Below are 23,047 nucleotides of genomic sequence, written 5' to 3'. Positions count from 1 at the left end.
GGGGGATGGCACGGAAGAAACGGTTTTCTTTCTTTACCTGTTTATCCAAATTCTCCCTGCCTCACATTTGCTTCCTTTTGAATCTGAGGCACACAGGAGAGTGAAAGGAGCTCAGTGGAAGCAGCTGGAGAACCTGGATTTTTGTCTCAATTTGCTTCCCCGTGGTATTTGCATCTCCTCATTGGGAGAAAAGACATGATTTTAAATTAACTCAGCGTTAGGGGCGTGGGAGCTATAGAGAAGAGAGTTTCATTGCTCTGGAATGATAAATATTGAAAGCTTTACAGGGGACATGGATCTGAGCAAGCCAGAGATTACAAATAGGAGTCCACACATCATGGTGGGGGGAGTTACTATGTTAACAACGTTGAGTCTTTGAATCCATGAAAATGGCCCCTACCTCCACGACACAGGCCGCCTTTAATGCCGGTCTGTGCGGTGCTGTGGGTTCCGAGGAGGGTCGCGCACATCTTTCGTTGTATTTATTCCTAGGTAGTCAATGTTTTGATGTTAATGCAAGTCGTATGTACTTTATTTTTTATTTATCTATTTTTTTTTTTATTTTGAGACGGAGTCTCACTCTGTCACACAGGCTGGAGTGCAGTGGCACAGTCTCGGCTCACTGCAACTTCCGCCTCCCGGGTTCAAGCGATTCTTCTGCCTTGGCCTCCTGAGTAGCTGAGACTACAGGTGCCCACCACCACGCCCAGCTAATTTTTGTATTTTTAGTAGACATGGGATTTCACCATATTGGCCAGGCTGGTCTTGAACTCTTGACTTTTGTGATCCACCTGCCTCGGCCTCCCAAAGTGCTGGGATTTCAGGCATGAGCCACCGTGCCCAGCCGTATCTACTTTAAATGTCATTTTCTCTGTTTGTTGTTGGTATATAGAAATACAATGATTTTTGCATATTGGCCTTGTACCCCTTGCCTAATCAGTTATTAATTCTGATATTCTCTGTAGCTTATGTTGGATTGTCTCTGTACCCAGTCATGTAATTGTGAATAAATAGTGACCGTTTTTTCCTTGCAGCTCTTATGCTTGTTAGTTTTAACTGATTTATTTAGCTGACCTCCAGTACAGTATTGAATAGAAGTGGTGATGGGGGCACATGTATTCTTGGTCTTGGAGGAAAGTTGCCAGCAAATACATTTTTTGTTGGAATATTACTTAGTGTAGCCGTACGTTGAAAAAATAAGAAAGTAGTATTAAATTGAAAAAGTGCATTTTAAAATTTTATGTATCTTGTAAAATAATATTCTGAGCCTCTGTTTATGCCCTCTCAGTGACTCAGAAGTGTGTTTCCCAAAATGTTTCTGGAGCCGCCGTCTCATGAGCTAGTCCGTGCAGCCAGGGTGCTGCCTGCGGCCAGATCTTTCCGGGGACCTCTTCGTGCCGTCGCCCAGCCCCTCTTGGGAAGTTGCAGTACCCGTAGAATAATCAAGGCTCTGAGAAGGCTTCCTAGAAGGAAGCCTGTTTAGCTTTGTTTAGTGTTTCACACATTTATTTGCCCGTAGGACCTTTTATGTAACATCTGTTAACATCATGCTTAATGCTTAGGGAAATTATATTTGAATAAGTATCCGCATTTTTTTTTGAATAATTTACCTCCAAAACATTTTTGCTGCCAAGTCATAGCAGAGAGAACTATTTTTTGAGTAAATTTAGAACTGTTACTGTTTCATGATAGTCCCTTTTGGGCTCTAAAGAAAACCATTGCTTTTTTGTGTTTTGTTTTGTGACAGAGTGTGAACCAAAATGTAGGCAGCAGCCTCCAGCCGCTTCCTTGGTCAGTCTTTAAAAAGCAAAATGCAGTGATTCCTCTCTCCCAGTGATGGGCCCGGGGTAACGCAGAGAGGGACAGGCTCTTGGCCTTCCCGCCTTGTTCCTAAAGGAAGAGGGGAGGGTGGGAGGGAGGAAGGGGGACTACTGTGCTCCGCCTCCCGCGTGTCTCCCTATTCTCGGGCAGGCGCTCTGCTTAGGTCCCGGTGAGCAGGGCGATCCCCGGGCTGCTGCCCTCCCGGAGGTCCCCCGTCAACCTCAGGACCCGGGGCAGGGCTGGGCACGGCGGCCGCCAGGTGGCGCCAGAGGCAGCCGGTCCTGGGCGGGTCCCCGGTCCCAGCACCGCCCGCGCCGCGCCACCTGCAGCCGCGGATCCCAGGGCAGAGAGGTGGACGAAGGACCTTTTACCTGCATTTTTCTTTTTTCACTTTCTACTTTTGTATTATTTCTTTTTTCTTTTGTATTAAAAGAGCGTCTTTGCAAAACGTAGAAATTTCAGGCCCTCCAAGACGCGGATCCAGCCCTGCAGGAGCATGAAGTGTGTGTGATTCTGGTTTGGGTTTTAGTGACGACGAGGCTGGGATTCCCCCTGCAGGACGGCGGGGATTTGATTCGCTCCTGCAGTCAGCCGTCAGCCTGGCTTGCACCCTGTGTTCGGGTGCGGTCGTCCTTGCGGCTGCGCACGCTCCCGTTTTCTCTGCTTCCTGTTCCCTCAGCCGTTCCCTGGGGCTCCGCTCCGAATGCGCTGGGGCAGCGTCTGCACCGTCTGCACCGTCTCCATCGTCTCCATCTCCAGCGCCGCCTGCTCCCGTGCATTCTGTGCTTTTCCGCGGGAAATCAGACTCATGGAGACCCGGCTCCTTGTGCGGAGGCCCCTGAGGCCCTGGAGGAAGCCGCGCCTCTGTGGCTCTGGATTCAGATCCTGTCCCACCGGTTATCCCTGTGTGGCCTTGGACGCATCACTTAACCTCTCCCGGGGCAGTTCCCACACGTGTGAAATGAGCTAGTGGTGGCATCTGCCTTCCAGTGCTGTTGTGATTCTTCCTCCCCCGCCCTCTCCCCCCCACCCTCCAGAGGAGTCTCCCTGTGTCGACCAGGCGAGAGTGCAGCTGCGTGATCTCAGCCCACTGCCACTGCAGGCTCAGCCTCCTGGGCTCAGACAGTCCTCCCACTGCAGCCTCCCGAGTAGCTGGGATTACAGGTTTATGCCACCACGCCCAGATAATTTTATATATATATATATATATATATATATATATATTTTTTTTTTTTTTTTGTAGAAACAGCGTTTCTCACTGTGTTACCCCTCTCCTGTCCCCTCCCCTGCAGGGCATGGGGACAGCTCACGGGGCCTTCTCCCTTCAGAAACGAAGCCGCGCGTACTCCCCGTAAGGAGCTGCGTGGCCAGGCTCCGGCATCCCCTCCCACTGCAGGGCCTTCCTGGGGAGTCTTGGCTCCGGGACCCCTGCCCTGCTTCAGCCCAGCTGCCCCCACCACAGGCTGGGACCACCCCACCCGAGGCCTTCCTGCCCTTGCGGTTCCTCTCCCCTTCCTTCTTACCTCCTTCAGTGAAGATTCGCTATTATCTGAAATTATCCTCAGTTTAGTATTATTCTCGAAGGATATTTTCACTGAGTAGAAGATTCTAGTTTAGAAGTTGTTTTCTTTCACCACTCTGAAGATTTAAAACATATTTTTCCAGTGTCTTTTGGCTTTACTTTTTTTTTTTGTCAGCTAATTAGAGCTTTTAAGATATTTGGTTTTTGGTCTTTGGTTTTAGCAGTTTTACTGTGAAGTTTTGAGATGTGGTTTTCGTTTTCTTTTTCCCTCTTCTTATAAGGCTTCTTGAGTCTTTGGACTGACGTTTTCTGGCTGTGTTTTTGAAAAACTTTGGCCATTACTTCTTCAAGTAGCATCCTTGCTCCGTTTTCTGTCATCTCTCTTTGCGGCTGGAATTGTATGTCTTTAGAGCGTTTCAGTGTATCCTTTCTGTCTCTCCTCTTTTGTTCTCTATTTTTCATCATTTTTTCTCTATATATTTTATTTTGAAAATGTTTTCCCTGACTTATCGTTTGATTTCTCTTCAGCGATTGTCTTTCAGGTCAGGGAATCTTTCTTCATCTATGGAATTATTTTTGGATTGGTTTTAACTCCTAGAATTCCACTTGGTTCCTTTTAATACTGTCCTATTCTCTGACAAAATTTATGATCTTACATTTTATCTCTTTGAATGTAATTGTTTTAACGTCTGTGTCTTGTAACTTTATTAGCTGGTGCCTCTGTGGATGGGTTAGTGTTGTCTCTTTTTGTTGGGTTTTCATTCATGTGTTTTTTTTTTTCTTTGTTTGCCTGGTTATTTTTGATTGAGTTTTGAGCTTTGTATTGGAATTATTTGCAGTAATAATTTGAGTCCTGAATGGTATTTTCTTTTTAAAGAGATGATTTATTTTTATTTCTGGCAGATGGCTAGAAGCACCAGCAATTCTGGATCTAATTTTAGGGATTGAGATGATTTAGACTGAGGCTTCAGCCCCTGCGAGGGCCAGCTTCCCACCTGACTGTTCCTCCTAGGGCATTGTCTCTCCAAGTCAGCACAGTTTTCTCAGCTTCTCTGCAGCTCAGCTGCCTTTTATGGAGTTGGCACATGCCCCCAGGTAAAAGTGGCTGCAAAAGTGGGGCCCATGTCTTTGGGTTTTCTTCTTCTGAGTCTTCTTTCCTGCCTTGTTAGGTTTCTTTTGTTTTTATTTCTTTTTTTAATTATTTTATTTTATTTATTTTCGCACCTTGTTAGGTTTCTAATGGCTTTACACAGATTTAGAAAGAGTATTGTGTCTACCCTTTCTAATTGTTCTCAGCAGCAGGATTGAGCTGAATCACCTAGGCCGCTGGAAGAGGAGGTTCCTGATCCCCGTCTGGTCTCTGATTTGAAATACCACCTTTATCAAATGTGACCTTATGGCCTGCGTCTGCAGCTTGCAGGATCAGACAGGCAGTGCCTCTTTTGTTTTGCTGATGAGTTGCTCAAGCCCCGTGGGCCTGTAGTGGCAGCAAGTTCACTCCGTCATGAGTGCCCCCCACCCCTGCTGTGTAACGGCCAAGGGCTTTCTTTCCCCAGGGGAGTGAGTCCTGCTGTGGCCCGCCAGCTCAAGAGGGAGACTCTCATCCACTGGCAGGCCCAGCTCTCAGATCTTGTGGTTTCTGTGGCTGCGCGGTGGCTCAAGACCGTCTCCCGAGTCTAGTCGTCCTCAGCTGTGCTCAGGCGCTGGCTGGGCCGGACCCCTGCACAAATGCCCTTGCTGTGTGTACGTTTTAGCTTCGACTCCTACACTCAGCCCTCATTCCCCAGGCACAGTGGCCAGGCCTTGGGGGTGTTTGCATCAGCCTCACGCACCACAGGAGCCAGCACCCCTGCCACAAACTATGGACCTGCCACCCTCTTTATTCATAGCAAGTCTCTCTAATTCCTGTCAAATGCCCCATTTTATAAGGCATTTTGTGTTCCCTTTACTATTCTAAAATGAAGTTCATAGATGATATAGCCTACCTACCTCCATGATTTTAAAAAAACATATAATATCCAAACTAATATGAAGGAGACATAAAATGGAAGTAACTTACATATTGAAGTACAAATTGTATTGTGCAGGCTCAGGCACAACACCAGAAAACAAAATTCAGGCGCTTGCCCCCCTACAAACAAGTGCTGTGACTGTCACAGCCAAGGCTGCAAGCTGATGAGGTGCTGTGATTCAGCTGCCGTTAGCAGGCTTCCCTGTGCTTTTCCTGAGGCAGTAGGTGTCACTGAAATAGACTGAAGTACAGCTTTCTCGCCATGCAGAGCGGTGACACGGCAGTTGCATTCCTGAAAATCCACTGGATATTGAAACGATGCAGATGAAAACAGGGCTTATTTGTAAGCTGGAGTCAGGTTCTGGGCTCAGGAAAACAGGTCTTTTCTCCTGCCTGAGTGAGCAGCGTGCATCTGGCAGTTATGCAGGCCAGTGGGTGATGTGCTGATGTAATGAGGTTCGAGGGTGGCACATCTCACACGCGCACGAACACCCCGTCGTCACGCTCAGGAACTACAGGAGGATGGAGGCCAGTTCTTTGTTGTGTGGTGCTGGCTGGTGCCATTCCTGGCTTATGTCTTCTGGATGCCAGTGGCTCTCCCTTTTTTATGATGACTGGAAATACCCCACAAATTTCAGAATACCCCTTGGGGTGGTAGAAAGATTCCCCTGAGAATCTCCCTTTAGAAACATGTTCACAGAGGAGAATCACGAAATGACCCCTTTGTGTCTAGTTTCTCTTTTTTTCTAGTTTCATCCATTATCAGAATAATTTTTCTTTGTTTTTTCTTTTTCTTTCCTTTTTTAAATAGAGATGGCATGTTGCTAGTTGCCCAGGTTGGCCTTAAAGTCCTAGGCTTAAGTGATCCTCCTGCCTCAGCCTCTGAAGTAGCTGGGACTACAGGTGCACGCCACTGTGCCTTGCTTAAAAATAATCTTTTTAGGCTGGATGCAGTGGCTCACGCCTGTAATCCCAGCACTTTGGGAGGCTGAGGTGGGCGGATCTCGAGGTCAGGAGCTCAAGACCAGCCTGGCCAATATGGCGAAACCCCATCTCTACTAAAAATACAAAAATTAGCTGGGTGTGGTGGCGGAGGCCTGTAATCCCAGCTACTTGGGAGGCTGAGGCAGGAGAATCGCTTGAACCCAGGAGGCGGAAGTTGCAACGAGTCGAGATTGTGCCACTGCACTCCAGCCTGGGTGACAAGAGCAAGACTCTGTCTCAAAAAAAAAAAAAAAAAAAAAAAAAAGTCTTTCTAATGCATCTTTGCTGATGCCTTTCTTTGCTGAGAAACCTTCAGTGCTGACTGGTGCCCTCAGTAAAAGCCCCAAACTCAGCTGGGCCTGCACACTCCTGCCCAGGCAGCCTGTAGTTGGCCTCCTCCCACGCCAGTCACTACAGCCCACCGTCCCGCTGCTCTGTGCCATAGACCCTTCTTCTGCCTGGAATGGAAGCCACCAGTCTCTCCACTCCCAGGTCAGATGTCCCCTCCTGTGGGACAGCTGCAGCAGACGCTTCTCCTCCTCGCTGCCCATGGCATTTTGTGAACCCTGTCTCGTCCGTTGTTAGTCTCTGCGTGGCATTGGCGCTTCCTGGGTTTGTCTTGTCTGTTTTTACCGAGTTGTTAGGTCCCTGGCGGTCTTGTTAGCCTCCTTAGATGACACGGGCCTGCACACAGAAAGTACTCAGTAGGTGTCACTGGTGCGTGACCTGTCACCTCTGGAGATCACTCAGTCTCTGATCTGGCTCTGAAACCCTGGACGAGCCAGGCTGCGTCTGATGACTGTAGCTGAGCATGGAAAGAAGACTTAGCACACGCTTGTGTGCAGTGGGTACTCGGGGCACCCTGCGTATGCTCAGCTGAGGGGGTGTCAGGAAGAGAGTGGGCATCTCTGAAAGCTTTCATTCTTGGCCAAGTTGTCTACGGCAGAAACGTTTGCCTTTTCCCCGGCTGATGCGTGTGAGATTGAGTGAGAGAGGCAAGTGCAGGACTCTCTAAAACGACAACAGGACTCCAGAGACGGGGCGGGGGCCTTCCTGTTTCAGCAACTTCTGCCCAAAGGAGAGAGAAACCCCCTTCCCTTCTGGTCACTTCAGCCACTGGACTGGCAAATGTGAGTGTGCGGCATGGAGCAGACATCCTGCCACCCTCCCTGGGCTCTGGGGCAGCTAGGCATGAAAGCAGAGGCTGCTATGACGCCCTGGGTGGCCTTAGGTCTCAGCACTGCCCTGGAGTGTCAGCTCCTGCTCTGCTGGCCTCCCTCCGTGTTAGGAGGCCGGCCCCTGCCTCCATCGCCCCCTGCTTGCAGCCCTGAGTGTCTGAGAAGCCAGGCCAGGGCGACCGGCCCAGCAGCCCTGAAGTGGTGGCTGTGATTATTCGGGCGTTTTGGGGAGACAGCTGACAGCACAAGAGAAAAGCACACACACGGGAGACTTTGTTGAGATCATCGTTACGTCTCCGTTTTCCTTTCCCAGGTCTAGGTGTTAGCAGTGGATTTAGGCAGCAGTTTCATTCATGGGTATAGAGCAGCAAGTCTCAAACTTGTGTCACCTGGAGGGTTTGCTAACTCAGATTGCTGGGCCACTGTCCCCACCTCAGTTTCTGAGTAGGTCCAGGGTGGGCCCCAGGGATTTGTGTTTCTACTAAGCTGCCACCTGATATTTATGAAAGCTGCTGTCTAGGGACCCACCTTGAGAACCACTGGTATAAGCGGTAGTTTTTCTTACAGAAAAAAAGTGAATATTTACTAAGGATACTGTTTCACTTAAATTTATTGGATATCATTTATGTTGGATATTATAGCTCAGATGCTGTATTTTATTTTTTAATTTTAAATTTTTATAGAAATAAAAGAAGAGCTTGAAGATCTGAACAAAGAAATCAAGAAAACTGCGAATAAAATTCGAGCCAAGTTAAAGGGTAAGTTTGAAGTTTTATGTTTAATTATTGATGTTGGGAGTATGGGTATTTGTTATTTTTTTCTTTATTGGTTTTTGTTCTTTTACATTTTTAAAAATTAAAATAGTGACTGCTTTAAAATAAATTATTTGTATGTAATTCAGAGTACTAATTAATATTCAAAAAGGTTATGTGTTTGCTTATAAACTGTTATACTGTTACATTTTTGATGACATTTCAGGCTAAGTTGCAGATGTTTGGGAAGGTGAGTTGCCAGGCTCTTCTTGAATGGACCCTTTAATTGCTCATTTCTTTCAAACTTTCTGTAGAATTTATTCGATGATGTTTGGCATTCCACTTTAGCAGCAGTAGTTTTTTGGGAGGCTTATAGCTTTGTCATGTAAAACAGGGGACTTAAACAGAGGTTGCTTTTTCTCGATTTGGTAGAAAACATGTTGTATTTGATTTTTGCAGAATGGCATCAAGATCAAAAACAATCTCTGTGCAGATGATAAAATACTTTTATTACGGCAGGTTTCAGATGTGTGCAGAAGCAGAGAGAGGCGACCACAAGCCGACCCCCCAGCTCCACAGTTCTCCATGAGCTCCCACCCGCACCCGCTCCCAGACTATTCTGAAGCCCATCCCAGGCATCTGAGATTTCATCAGTGTGTATTTCAAAAACAGAAGCTTCCCCAAAAGCACAACCACAATTATATCTAAACCCAAATTCATTATAATTACTTAATAGTACAGAATATCCAGGCAGAATTTCCCCAGTGGTCTTACGATTTTTTTTTTTTAAACAGTTTGCTTGAATTGAGTCCCAAATAAGGACCAAACCCTGGCTTTTAAAAATGAGATTCTCCCTTCATGATTTTTCTCTCTGCACTTTTTCCTTTGGTTGGTGAAACCAGGTCATTTGTCCTACAGAATCTGCCATGCTGCAGATTTTGCTGATTTTACCTCTGCAGCACATTTAATAGGCTCTGCCGTCCTCTGAATTTGCTGTAGGTTGGTAGTTAAATTCTCCAAGCTTTATCTGATTCAGGTGTTTTTTGTGGGTTTTTAAAATGTAAAGATGCAGCATCTGATTACAGATTTTATGTCCTCATGGTTACGTTAAGATGTTAATGGTGGCCTGGCACGGTGGCTCACGCCTATAATCCCAGCACTTTGGGAGGCCGAGGCGGGTGGATCACAAGGTCAGGAGATCGAGACTTATCCTGGCTAACACGGTGAAACCCCGTCTCTACTAAAAATACAAAAAATTAGCTGGGCGCAGTGGCGGGTGCCTGTAGTCCCAGCTACTCAGGAGGCTGAGGCAGGAGAATGGCGTGAACCCAGGAGGCAGAGCTTGCAGTGAGCCGAGATCACGCCACTGCACTCCAGCCTGGGCGACAGAGCAAGATTCCATCTCAAAAAAAAAAAAAAAAAAAAAGATGTTAATGGTGACATTAACATTTTTTCTTGGCTCTAAGTAAGTTCAGTAAAATTTTAAATAAGATATAACATTCTTTTCTATTCTGTGATATTGTCAAAAATGGATGATTATTTCCAAGATCCATAATTCATTAGAAGTTGCAAGCAGTAATATCCTGATTTTTTTTTTTTTTTTTTGAGACAGAGTCTCACTCTGTCACCCAGGTTGAAGTGCAGTGGCACAATCTCGGCTCACTGCAACCTCCACCTCCTGGACTCAAGCGACTCTCCTGCCTCAGCCTCCTGAGTAGCTGGGACTACAGGCGCCCGCCACCACGCCTGGCTAATTTTTGTATTTTTAGTAGAGATGGGGTTTCGCCATGTTGGCCAGGCTGGTCTCAAACTCCTGACCTCAAATGATCCGCCAGTCTCAGCCTCCCAAAGTGCTGGGATTACAAGCATGAATATCCTGATTTTATTCTTCCTTCTTTGTTTAGTTGCTGGAATAGTTAAAAAGAAACCTTTCCCCTTCAACTCTTGAATTGGGTAGTTTGGAGAATTTAACTATGAGCCCACAGTAAATACAGAGGACAGCAGAGCTTACTGAATGTGTTGCAGGGTGAAATCAGCAAAATGTGCAGTGTGGCAGGTTCTGTAGGACGAATGACCTGGCTTCTCCAACCAAGGGAGCCAAAGCACATTCTGGGTCACAGATCATGGAGGACAGAGAGGATCAGCGTTGGACTCTCTCTCTCTCTGGTATAATTTTCATAGGTCAGTTCCCTGGGGTCCTCCAGAGATGACCAGGGAGAGTCTCTGTTGCTGCTTGTCGTCCATCATCGTGAACACATGGATTTAAACACATCTGATGTTTTCATTGCTGCATTATCCTTAATGCTCAGATGGTCTCTTTGGCTAGTAGGGTGGACTCTTGAGTCCTTTTGGTAGGCCCCTCATTGTCTGTGACAGCCTTTCCACTTTTTGCTGTGACAAAAGTCCCCATGCTCATTTCACCCCTTTCCTCCCTGGGCCTGGCATCAGCCATTTCCCCAGGAAGCCCTGCTCCTGTGTCTGAAGAATGTGATCTAGACACCGAGGTCAGCATGCTGGGGAATGTATTGCTATACATGACGATGACCTGACCATTCTTTCCTAGGCTTTTTCAGTGGACTGGGCTAAGATTTTTTTAAAAGATAAAATGAATCATGATTTGTTACTGAGAATCCAAATTAAATTAAGAATAAAGGAAGGACTAAAAATTTTTTTGAAAGGATTTTTACTTAATAAGGGCAATATTACATCTTTATTTCCTTTCAACTATGCCCCAAATTCTGGTTCTCACTGACACATAATTATTCACTTGCTATTCATAGTACACACACAACAGACTCAAAATAATTATGCCAGCATCTACTGTCAAGAGTATGATTACTTAAAGGTTTATTTTTTATTTTTTGTGTCATTCTTTTTGTCTATAGGTATATCCCACTGGGCTAGATAATCAAATTACTTTTTGTTGTTGTTGTTGTTGTTTGACCTGGGGTCTTGCTGTGCTGGCCAGGCTGGAGTGCAGTGACTGTTCACCAGTGTGATCATAGCGCACTACAGCCTCGAACTCCTAGGCTGAAGTGATCCCCCGAGCACTTGTGACTACAGGTACACGCCACTGTGTCCAGCTACAAATTACTGGGTTTTAAAGTTGCTTTGAATAGTTTTTCCTCTGTGTGTTTATTTTTTTGAGATGGAGTTTCGCTCTTGTCGCCTAGGCTGGAGTGCAATGGCACTATCTCGGCTCACTGCAACCTCCGCCTCCTGAGTTCAAGCAATTCTCCTGCCTCAGCCTCCCGAGTAGCTGGGATTACAGGCACCCGCCACCACACCCAGCTAATTTTTGTATTTGTAGTAGAGACAGGGTTTCACCATGTTGGCCACGCTGGTCTCGAACCCCTGGCCTCAAGTGATCCGCCTGCCTTAGCCTCCCAAAGTGCTAGGATTACAGGCGTGAGCCACTGCACCCGGCTCCTCTGTATGTTTATATCATTAACTTGACTTACTGTTAGGTTTGCTTTATTTTTTCTTTGAAGTTTAGGGATTAATTTTTTTAAATTTAATTTTGCATTAAGTTTTGTGAAGTATTTATGTCATTCTGACGTCAAATATATAAAACATATTCGGAGTCTAGCTTCTTTCTTCATCGTCCCCTTGTTTCTCCTTTCCCTTTAGTGGTACCCAGTTTTAAAGTTTGTTGGTTATGTTTCCATTTTTTTGTATGTGTGTTTTCCATGTATTTGTATATATGTGTGTATATATATCTGTGTGTATCTGTGTATATATGTGTGTATGTATATATATCTGTGTGTATCTACATATACATGTTTCCTCTTGATGGGGTTGGGCGCAGTGGCTCGCACCTGTAATGCCAGCACTTTGGGATGCCAAGGCAGGCGGATCAGTTGAGCTCATGAGTTCGAGACCAGCCTGGGCAACATGGCAAAATCCCGTCTGTACAAAACATACAAAAATTAGCTGGATGTGGTGGCACACGCCTGTAATTCCAGCTACTCGGGAGGCTGCGGTGGGAGGACTGCTTGAGCCTGGGAGGCAGAGGTTGCAGTGAGACGAGATTGTGCCCCTGCACTGCAGCCCGGGTGATAGAGCCAGACCTTGTCTCAGAAAATAATTTCCTATTGAGGGATTGTCTTTTTAGTAGATTGTTTTAGAAGGTCACTTGTTCATTAGCTTTAGTTTTATAAAGATACTTCAAAGATAAGAAATAAAAGGAATTTGAAGTCAGGCTTGGAACATTTTCATTTTTAAATTTGGAAGGTAATTATTTCCTATTTGTTCCTAGCTATTGAACAAAGTTTTGATCAGGATGAGAGTGGGAACCGGACTTCAGTGGATCTTCGGATACGAAGAACCCAGGTTTGCTATCAGCCTCGTTTAGATTAAAGTAATGTCGCAGAATAAGTGTTTTTACTTTCTTCTTGCAGACTCTGAATAATTTCATCTTTACTGTCATGCTTATCCTCATAGTATTTCTGCACAAAAATAATATAGTATTGTAAAACAAAAGTATCTGAGACAGAGGTTTATTTTGCCAAAGTTGAGGACACACTTGGAGAAAAGAAATACAAATTAGAGTAGGATCTGTGGTTTGTGCCTTTCCTGAAGAGGGTTTTGAGGACTTCAGTATTTAAAGGGGAAAGAGCGGGCAGGAGAGGAAGGAGGAAAGGGGAAAAAAAAGAGAAAAAGTGGGGGTAGGCAGCGGGGTGGCCACACTGCTGTGAGGCTTTGCTCAGGGCTCACTGCGTTCACATTTCACATGTGGGAAGAGAGGAGTGGGGGTCGATTCTGCACTCCTCCCGTGCCCAGATCCGCCTCTTACGTGGGCCAGTGTGAGCCTGAGGTGAGGGAGGAGCTATACATGCATTTCTCAGGGTGGGCCGAGGGTGACTTCTAGTCTTGTCTTTGTCCTGTACCTGTGAAGGTAAGCGGCTAATGTACATTGTCAGGGTGAGATTCTGCAGAACTCTGTTTTAGAGTTAGTTTTTGGTGGGGGGGATATGGATTCTGAAAGATTCTGGGACCTACGAGGAATTTCCTTGTGAGCACTTTGTGCAGGAGGCTGCTGGGGCGATGTGCGGCCTTCTGTCACTGCAGCCATCTGTTTGAGAAGAGGAGGGAGGGCAGTGTTTTGCATGACTCAGTTCCCAAGCTTAACTGTCCCTTTGGGATAGTGAGTGTGAGGTCCTGCGATTTTATTTTCCTTTCACAGTATTTATAGAAATCTCTTTATTGTGAAGAAAAATCTATTCGGTCCATCAACAGAGTTCTATTCCAAAGAGTAGGGAATTATCCAAATGATTTTAGTGTTTGTGGTAAGGCCGCCACGTTTTAGTGGTTTGTGGTACTGCCCAGAGGAAGACAGAGCCCTGAGGCCTCGAGGGCACGAGGCGATGAAGCACGCGGGCTCTGGGGTCCGCCTGCCTGGGTCCCCTCATGGGCACAAGGCGATGAAGCACGCAGGCTCTGGGGTCCGCCTGCCTGGGTCCCCTCATGGGCACAAGGCGATGAAGCACGCGGGCTCTGGGGTCCGCTTGCCTGGGTCCCCTCATGGGCACAAGGCGATGAAGCACGCGGGCTCTGGGGTCCACCTGCCTGGGTCCCAGTGCTGATCTGTGTTTATCAGAAAAGCCTGTGACCTTGGGCTAATGACCTCAAAGTCATGGTTTTCTTTAAGTAGGGTTGTGACCGGCATAGTAGGGGTCTTGTAAAAATTAGGTAAGATCATGCATGCAAAGTTCTTAGCACAGATGCTGCCATGGGGACTTTGCCATTGTCATTTTCCATTTGCAGGAGCAGAATAACATGTAGTTTGAGTTTCCAAAATGCATGTCTTGCATGTCACTTTCAGTAGAAGGCATGGCCCTCAGATACGAATGTAGTTTTCCTGTGTTGTTAGCATTCGGTGCTGTCTCGGAAGTTTGTGGAAGCCATGGCGGAGTACAATGAGGCACAGACTCTGTTTCGGGAGCGGAGCAAAGGCCGCATCCAGCGCCAGCTGGAGATAAGTGAGTAATGGAGACTCCGTCTTTGTTAAAATCATGTTTTTCTCCCTTAAGGTCTCACTTCAAATGACTTTAACTTCAGAAAAGGAAATCCATGTCTATTTTCACCAATAGTGTAAAACCCAAAGACCACTCGTAGCTTCCTATGCCGTGAGTCAGGCAAACCTGTTCTTCCTGTCTTCAGGAAGTCCTAAGCGGTGGGGTTTACCTTGCTCATTGCTGTTGCTTTTAGAGTTTCAGGGAGATTGGGAGAGTGCTCAGTCATTTCCTCTTTGAGTGTTTCTGTGTCCTCAGTCCCGCCCTGCCCTGGTTCGGGGGCATCTTCATGGCTCCTCACATCTCTCCTTGTCTGTGAGCAGAGGCAGCGGCCCTATTGCCCCAGACTCTTTTCAGGGGTGTCTATGGGGACAGTTGGCTGTGGCAGTGGAGATGGCGCCTTCTTCGGGGACAGACGGGTCTGTTTCAGGGATAAAGGTTGGTCAGGTTTGTAGACTCCCCATTGTGAAAGATTGGGGTTCCCAAGCTCGGGTCCTTCAGCTGTGACACAAACCCACTGTGAGGACGTCCCACTGCAGCTGCTCTGCCTCTCCCCATGAGACTGGGGGCCGTGGACAGCTGCTCATGAGCCTCAGGTTGCCTGCTGTGCTGTGAGTAGGAAATCCCTTTGTCCCTGACCTGGGGCCTTGGACCTTCTGCCGGCCCCCACGGAGCCCTGGCAGGCCAGCGTGTCAGCTCGCAGGTCAGATGAAGCCTCAGGCCCATCCCGGCTCCCAACGCCGCACATCCCCCTCAGAGAATGTTGTCATATGCCCGCCAGGCCGCTTGACCTTGTCCCACAGCTCAGCGAGGCTCCTCATGTTTTAGATACTCTTTTCCAGTGTGTTTGGTTTTGGTCAGTTTCTCTTGCTTGTCTGATCTGCCTTTAACCTCCTCTGGTGTATGTTTCATCGGAGACACTGGTTTCTGTTGCTAGTTCTGCTGGGTGTTTTACATGTCTGCTGTGTTGCTCCCCACTGTACAACTGGGACGCACTTGTAGTAACTTGAACCGTCTTTGTCTGCCAACTCCAGTGTCCTGTCTGCTCTGGTTGGTTGATTTCCTTCCTTTCTGTGGCTTGTGTTTTCCTGCTTCTTTGCGAGCCTGGTAAGTTTCGAGTGTGTGCCAGACATTGTGAACGTTACTTTGTTGGGTGCTGAGTATTTCTGTATTTTGAGTATTTTTGTAAATCTCCTTGGGCTTTGTTTTAGAATGTAGTTAAATCACATGAGCATGGTTTAGCCTTTGGGATCTTGCATTTAGAGGGAGCAGAGCAGCTTTATTTGAGGGCCTGTCATTCCTCACTCCTGAGGTAAGACCCTTCTGAGCACCTGCTCTGATGGCCGTGAACCTCATGGCACCCTCGTCTGCCTGGCAGCGTGTTCCCTCTGGCATGCTGGTCAGCACTCCAGTGAGCATGCGGGGTCTGTGCAGCTCGCTCTCTGCATCTCTCTCATCTCTCATACTCCATCTTGCAAATCCAGTTGCCTTGGTCTCCCCTGAGCTCTGTGCCTTTGCCTTAGGACTTCCCCTGGGCTCCACCTGGGCCCTTTCTGCTCTGTGGCTGACACGAGAGTTCCGTCTGAGGGCAGCAGCAGGCTCACCTGGCTTGTTTCCATCTGTTGGGAATCAGTGTGTGGCCTGATGCTCAGTGTCTTGGAAATCGTTTTGTAGATTTTGGTGGGTTTGTGGTTATTTCAAGTGGCAGGGAAAATACGGTCCCTGTTGCTCCATCCTGGCAGAAATGCTCAATCATGATGTCGACTAGACTGCTTTTCTATGAAAAAGTTTTTACAAACCACTTTGACTTCAGGGATCTGTTAGTACTTTTTAAAGTGAAAGTCATCATTACAGGCAGCCGGTTGCACTGTGAGGATTTATGCTCTGGGACTCTGTGGTGAGCGCTTTTCTAGCACAGAGTTCCCCAGCCTGGGCTTGAAGGCCCCGCACCATCTCTCCTGCAGGTCCATCCTGTCTTCACTCCCCATGTGAATCCGGTGGCGTGATCAGATCGCCTAAGTCTCTTCTCTCTTTCCCACATTATTCTATCTCAGCCCACAGAATTCATTTCCAGTTTCTTCTCTTGCAATCATACTCTATCGAATGCAGTACTGTTTGTGAAAGTGTCTTATAAGCAATGAAGTATCATATACGTGTTGGGAGTTTTTTTTAGTAATTCCTTTAAGTCTGTTAAATTCTAAACCCTCCATGTGGCTATTCCGAAGTGAGCAGGTCTATGCAAACTCACCCCCAAAGGCTGAGCGAGCTGAGACGCCAAAGAAAGAGGCTAACAAATCCAGTTTCTCGAAGGAAACATTGGCTAGGGACGTACGAACAGAAGCCCCCGAGAGACAGAGACGGTGGACCCCACAGCCGCCTGCCCTCAGAAAGTGTTCTTTATACAGCAGGCTTTCAGGGTAGAACGTGTGCAGCCGGCCCTGTCTTCTGACTTGCTTGACAACACTTGGGACCACTGGTCAGGCTGGATGAGCATCTTGATGAGAGGTTGCCTGTGCCGGAGGCATCGTCTTCAGACCTCATTGCAGAACAGCTTGGCATGCACGAGTCGAGCATCGGTCATCACGGTGGTTTTGCTTCAGGATGGCGTCACTCTGGCCACACAGCGGGCTGTCTTCATACAGTGGTCTTCTCCAAATCCTTGCACCTAAAACCATTTTGTCCCCTTTCTTTCTTCCTTCCGTCAGCCCTGTCATCAGGCAGGTTTCTTACCTTGTATCACAGGATATCTTTTCCTGTGCTGTATGCTTTGTTTCTTCAAATGGCAAGTGAGTTTCTTCTTGGACCAGGGCATGTTACATAGGTCCACAGTGCTTTCTCTGGAATGGTTGGGGCTGTATGTGTTTCAGAGTTCAGAATTTTTCAGATTTTAGGAAGATAGTACAATGTATAAGAGGTGTATTATGTAATCCCCAGGTGGGGTCTAGGACTGCACCCTGTAATCAGGCACATTCACACAGCTCTCCAGTGAAATGTGAGTATTCACAGTAAGGGGGAGGAGTTAAGATTATAAATAGCCATGACTCAGTTTAGGTCAGATTTTGCCGCTCATTGAATTTTGACATCGAGCTTAAGGAAAACCCAGTTTTCATAATGTTGTGGATTTCAGCATTCTGGATAAGGAATTACGAATGTATACTGCATTTCACATTCTGTAACCCCAGGCTGTTTCTTAGACTTAGCAGTTAGCCGGTGGGAAGACCTTTGTGAACGTGAGACATGAACTGTAACTTTTAGTTTGTTTTTTTTTTTTTTTTTTTTTTTGAGAGAGAGCCTCACGCTGTCACCCAGGCTGGAGTGCAGTGTTGTGATAACCACTTATTGTGGCCTTGAACTCCTGGATCCAAGGGATCCTCCCACCTCAGCCTCTCGAGTAGCTGGGACCACAGAAGCACACCACCATACCTGGCTAATTTTATTTTTTGTAGAGACGAGGTTTTCACTATGTTGCCCAAGCTGAAATTTCTAGTTTTGATGATTATATTTTACATTATTTAGAACAAGTTTCATGTTTTTAAAAAAGCAAAGCAAAACTCAGAGAATCTCCTTATTGAGCTATTTTGAATAGATTTTTAAGTTTTATTTTATTTTTTGTAGAGATAGGGTCTTGCTGTGTTGCCCAGGCTAGTCTCAAACTCCTAGCCTCAAGCAATCCTTCCACCTTGGTCTCCCAAAGCACTGGGATTATACATGTAAACCACCATGTGTGCTCTCAAATAGATTTTTAAATGATTGAGAATTACCTCCCAAAAAATAGTGTAAGTAAACAAATTTTGCAATTTACTAACTTTAAAACTTTTTTCATTAAATGACATCTCAACAACTTTATTGAGAAGTAAATCTCTTAATATGTGAATGATATTTGGAGCATACAATTAATTCAGTGGTTTTTGGTGTATTTCCACACACAATCAATTTAAAACACTTTTATCAACCCAAAAAGAAACTTCACACCCACCACCAGTCATTCCCCATTTCCTCTCCTAGCCCAAGACAACTGCATTCTACTTTTTACTCCTGTACATTTTCCCATTTTGGATGTTTCATATAAATGGAATTATACACTATGTGTTCTGTGACTGACTTCTTTCCTGTAACACAGTTTTTCCAAGGTTTCACCATGGGGTGGGCAGGGTGTGGTGGCTCACATGTATACTAATCCCAGCGTGTTGGTTGGGAAGCCAAGGTGGAAGGATCGCTTGAGGCCAGGAGTTCAAGACCAGCTTGACAACATAGCAAAACCCCATCTCTGTAAAAAAAAATAAAAATAAACCAGGCATGGGTGTGTGCCTATAATCACAGTCACTTGGGAGGCTGGAGCAGGAGGATTGCTTGAGCCTAGGAGGTCAAAGCGGCAGTGAGCTGAGATTGCACCACTACACTCCAGTCTGGGTGACAGAGTGAGACCGTATCTTTGTTAAAAAAATAAAAAGGGCTGGGTACGGTGGCTCACACCTGCAATCCGAGCACTTTGGGAGGCTGAGGTGGGCAGATCACTTGAGGTCAGGAGTTCGAGACCAGCCTGGCCAAAATGGTGAAACCCCACCTCTACTAAAAATACAAAAATTAGCCGGGCGTGGTGACGCACGCGTGTAGTCCCCACCACTCAGGGGTCAGAGGCATGAGAATTGCTTGAACCCGGGAGGAAGAGGTTGCAGTGAGCTGCGACGGTGCCCCTGCACTCCAGGCTGGGCGACAGAGTGAGACCCTGTCTCAAAAAACAAAGCGACAAAAACCAAAAGCGTCCTTTGTTTTTGTGGCTGAGTCGTATGTCAGTGTGCAGCTAGACCGCAGTTAGCTCCTTCAGGCATCGGGGGACGGACGTTTGCGTTGTTTCCACTTTTTGGCAATTATGAATAATGCTGCTTATTAGATGACATTTGAATTATGACATTTATTCATTTACTTTTGTCTTCTGTGGCACAAACTATGAAAAATAGTAATTAACAATTAGGTTTCCAAAACCTGTGTACATGTTTCTTCGAAGTCATTACACATTTAACTCAAAAGGAAAGCATTAACTTCCAAACATGGAAAGTGTTCAGGCATCTGACTCTCATTACGTGGACTTTATTGATCCTCATTTAATACATGCTACATTCAGCTCAACCCCCTTTTACATGAGGCGGAGTTAAACTCTTAGGGAAACCAGTGTGCCGAGACATTGTTTACCGATTTCCTTTCTGCAGTTGTTTCTCACTAATATTAAAATGAAATTTTATTGTTTATAACATTTACAAAGTTTCTCGGAGTATTTTTATTTCTTCTTGCTCCTCAATCTTAGGTTCACTTCTCATTGTCAATATCTGCTTAAGAAAAGGTTAAAAAAATTACTGAAAAATGCTAACAACTATGATTGTAGTTGCTAACTTATGGTTGCAAATGGCTTTGTTTTTAAATTGTGCTGCATTCTGAGTGGGGCTGTGGTTGCGGGTCTTTCAGCTGGGAGAACCACCACAGACGACGAGCTAGAAGAGATGCTGGAGAGCGGGAAGCCATCCATCTTCACTTCCGACGTGAGTGGGGGTGCGGCCCTGTGGCTCCATGTCCTCTTCTGTAGACAGAGCTTTTTAAAAACCCTTTAACTTCCAAACCCATCATAAGTTTATTAATATTATCTTTTATTTTTGTTTTTCCAAGATTATATCAGATTCACAAATTACTAGACAAGCTCTCAATGAAATCGAGTCACGTCACAAGGACATCATGAAGCTGGAGACCAGCATCCGAGAGTTGCATGAGATGTTCATGGACATGGCTATGTTTGTGGAGACTCAGGTAGTTACAGACTCTTGCATTCTCCAAGAGAGATATCAGTCATGTGTAAAATCTTACTGCATCCCACTCTGTCTAGTGGATGTATCTAGGAAAGCTGTTATTTTGGATCCACCAAATTCAGGTTAATTGCAGTGTTATATGTGATGCTGAAATGCTGGAAGCAGCTTTAACAGTTGAACTGTTAACAGGAAGGGACTGGTTCAGTTGATTAAATTATGGAGTGTTCATAGGTCAGCCTTTTAGGCAACCATAGGCAACCTAAACTTTGTTCATGGAGAATTCTTACTGAAATATGCAGATGTTTGTGCTAGAATTAAGAGAAAAGGGAGATACAAAGATCTTCTGTGTATGCCCGTACATATGTATGAGTACATAAACACAAACACATGGCACGAGCTTGGCTCCATAAAACAGTATCCACAGAAGGAAAGGCGTATATCAAACAGTGTAATGGCAGTGAGACTATGGGAATTTTAATCTTCTCTAAAAGTATTTATTTTCAGATTTTCTATAAGAAGCATATATTACAGTAATAACTAGGAGAAATGTCTGAAAGAATCAACCCCAAGTGGGGATACAATCTATGACACAGATGCAAGCTTGTGCCTGTTACACGGGGTTTCCCATCTGCCCAGTAACACAGATAGGGAGTGAAAGCAGGTGTGGAAAGGCCCTTCTGAGTGAACCGAAGAGTTAATGCAATTCTTAATAAATAGAAAACTCCTCTGGGAGGCTGAGGTGGGAGGATTGTTTATGCCCATGAGTTCAAGGCTGTGGTGAGCTATGATCATGCCACTACACTCCAGCCTGGGTGACAGAGTGAGACCCTGTCTCCAAAAAAAAAAAAAAAAAATACACACATATATATGTATGTATGTATATATTGAACTCTCCATGTAAAGTACGGGATGGATCACAGATCACATGCTCTGTGATGTGCATGGGTATGTTCACACTCGCTCTTTGTCTTTGAATAAGGTCTTCTCGTTATTTTTCAAATACCATGGAGATAAGACTCTGTTGCTGGTTAGGATTCAGCTGACCACCAGGTGAAGCGGAAGCATTTATATCAAACCATCCTAAGTAAATGGTTTCCTCACTTGTCCTGAGCCTGGTTTCGGATCTGTTTTGGCTGGAGTCATCCCCTAAGTAGGTTCACATCTGATGGGCTTATTTTCTGAGACTGCCTGGATTGTGTAAGGATAGGAATCCATCCACACACAGGATTGTTCCTGCCTGCTTCAGCAACCTTGTTAAGAAACACTGTATTTTGAAGAACTTTATAATGAGAATGTGTGTGAAAAACTCAGGCACCATGCCTATTTTTTTTTTTTTTTTTGAGACAGGGTCTTGCTCTGTTGCCCAGGTTGGAGTGCAGTGGTACAATCTTGGCTCACTGCAACCTCTGCCTCCTGGGCTCAAGCAGTTCTCCTACCTCAGCCTCCCGAGTAGCTGGGACCACAGGTTTGCACCACTACGCCCGGCTAATGTTTGTATGTATAAGCATTTGCTAGAGGAAACCAACAGCTACACAGAGGGCAGGGATGGGACGATCTTACTCCTTTTTGATTTTGGGGGCCCCGTTGCCATTCATTATATGGTAAGTGGAGTGTGGGGAGTCTGATTACCATTGGTTACTTATTTCCAGGAAGCATTCCAAAGGAAACCAGCTGGACAGAAAGAACGAGAGATGATTTCTGTAATTACTAAAGCTTTTGTAGTACCTTAGACTTCAATTGTAATTGCTCTATACCAAATGCATTGCATTAAGCTCCGTTAGAAAAATGGCTGCATCCCTGGCTTTGTTTCACTGTTTCCTTTTAGAAGTCTGTTGGTATTGCATTATATTGACTCATCTAATGCAAATGTGTGCATAGTCAGAGATTACTAGTAAGTTGAAGTTTGTGACTGAGTGAGTTAACTCTCCGTCATTCTTCAATGCTTTACGATTCACTGCTGCAGGTTGTGTCTGGACAGACAACCAGGTAATACGTTACCTCCCTCACACTTTGCTGAATTCACCTCTGTTTACATTTTGCTCATTAATGTAGTCAGCTGAGTGTCAGATGTGAGCTATGCTCAGTTTACTGATTTAAAGAAGTAGTTACAATTTTCTACTTTGTGGAAAAGATGTCATTCTTTGTATATTGTCTGTCTGTGCATAATGGTAAAATACTAGTTCAACCAAAAGCTGGCTGCCTCCCTTCACCCTGCCCATCTGTCGAAAGTGTCTGCGTGTTAAAGGTATCTCAGAATTGACTTGAGGTGCCTTTAATTATCAACATGGTGGCCCATTCCTTTTCATTCTTTTTAAAATATAAATTGAGTTTTGATTGCTTTGCACTGGCACATGTATAATGGCCTCATCTTTTATCTTTCTGTAAATGTGAAAAAAACCCTCAGTATCCATTACATGCACATCGTGTTTATATAAAACCTTTGTTCTATGGTTGTCTTAAAGATACATGATTAAGCCATTTGAAAATGTCTTCTAAGTTTGAAACTTTTTGTTTTAAGGGTGAAATGATCAACAACATAGAAAGAAATGTTATGAATGCCACAGACTATGTAGAACACGCTAAAGAAGAAACAAAAAAAGCTATCAAATATCAGAGCAAGGCAAGAAGGGTGAGTTTGGCTTCGAAGAATTAAGCTGCGTTTTTCTCTTCATTTGGTTTCAAGTTGTAATACATTGATGTAAGCCTGCCTAAAAGGTATTCCAAGAAATAATTAATTAATAAATGTTTTATTTTAAAATGGAAATAATTTTTTTTGCTAAAAATTTAAAAGGTTTATTAGATGAATTATTTGTAGTTCATCTTTTGTGTTCTAAGTAATTGAAACCCTAGGGCTGGGTGTGGTGGCACGCCTGTAATCCCAGCACTTTTTTTTTTTTTTTTTTGAATTGGAGTTTCGCTCTTGTTGCCCAGGCTAGTAGAGTGCAATGGAGTGATCTTGGCTCACTGCAA

At 45.3% G+C, this 23,047-nt stretch overlaps 1 protein-coding gene and 1 pseudogene across 21 annotated transcripts in view, besides 4 other annotated features; one reads left to right on the top strand and one right to left on the bottom strand.

Annotated features, from left to right (window-relative positions):
- Positions 1-23,047, top strand: part of STX2 (syntaxin 2) — a 49,651-nt gene that overhangs the window by 18,020 nt on the left and 8,584 nt on the right. For 10 of the 21 annotated variants that reach the window (NM_001413773.1, NM_001351049.2, NM_001980.5 and 7 more), the window contains exons 4-9: positions 8,200-8,274; positions 12,527-12,600; positions 14,141-14,249; positions 19,743-19,816; positions 19,941-20,078; positions 22,596-22,706. In NM_001413773.1, coding sequence (NP_001400702.1) covers positions 8,200-8,274; positions 12,527-12,600; positions 14,141-14,249; positions 19,743-19,816; positions 19,941-20,078; positions 22,596-22,706 — 581 coding nt within the window. Of the gene's footprint in view, positions 1-568; positions 1,034-8,199; positions 8,275-8,787; positions 8,922-10,293; positions 10,450-12,526; positions 12,601-14,140; positions 14,250-16,687; positions 17,579-19,742; positions 19,817-19,940; positions 20,079-22,040; positions 22,064-22,595; positions 22,842-23,047 lie in introns of those variants that run through there. The other 11 variants (NR_182217.1, NR_182216.1, NM_001351051.2 and 8 more) reach the window with 11 other exon arrangements.
- Positions 1,941-2,180: a silencer, noted in NCBI's record as "silent region_5090". NCBI's record gives its function as "represses an Ori minimal core promoter by ATAC-STARR-seq in GM12878 lymphoblastoid cells {active_cell/tissue: GM12878}" and the evidence as "EXISTENCE:reporter gene assay evidence [ECO:0000049][PMID:35858748]".
- Positions 5,781-5,878, bottom strand: LOC124903117 (uncharacterized; annotated as a pseudogene).
- Positions 7,123-7,362: an enhancer, noted in NCBI's record as "active region_7347". NCBI's record gives its function as "activates an Ori minimal core promoter by ATAC-STARR-seq in GM12878 lymphoblastoid cells {active_cell/tissue: GM12878}" and the evidence as "EXISTENCE:reporter gene assay evidence [ECO:0000049][PMID:35858748]".
- Positions 9,365-9,548: a silencer, noted in NCBI's record as "fragment chr12:131296228-131296411 (GRCh37/hg19 assembly coordinates)". NCBI's record gives its function as "represses an EF-1alpha promoter that drives an FKBP-Casp9 reporter gene in an ReSE screen in phorbol 12-myristate 13-acetate-treated (for megakaryocytic differentiation) K562 erythroleukemia cells {active_cell/tissue: K562(+PMA)}" and the evidence as "EXISTENCE:reporter gene assay evidence [ECO:0000049][PMID:32094911]".
- Positions 14,415-15,337: an enhancer, noted in NCBI's record as "H3K27ac-H3K4me1 hESC enhancer chr12:131290439-131291361 (GRCh37/hg19 assembly coordinates)". NCBI's record gives its function as "activates a minimal SCP1, AML or CMV promoter by ChIP-STARR-seq in primed H9 embryonic stem cells {active_cell/tissue: H9 hESC(primed)}" and the evidence as "EXISTENCE:reporter gene assay evidence [ECO:0000049][PMID:30033119]".

Source organism: Homo sapiens, chromosome 12, assembly GCF_000001405.40.
Source record: "Homo sapiens chromosome 12, GRCh38.p14 Primary Assembly".
Lineage (NCBI taxonomy): Eukaryota > Metazoa > Chordata > Mammalia > Primates > Hominidae > Homo > Homo sapiens.
Note: the sequence above shows the minus strand (reverse complement) of the source record. Positions and strands in the feature narration are given on the sequence as shown.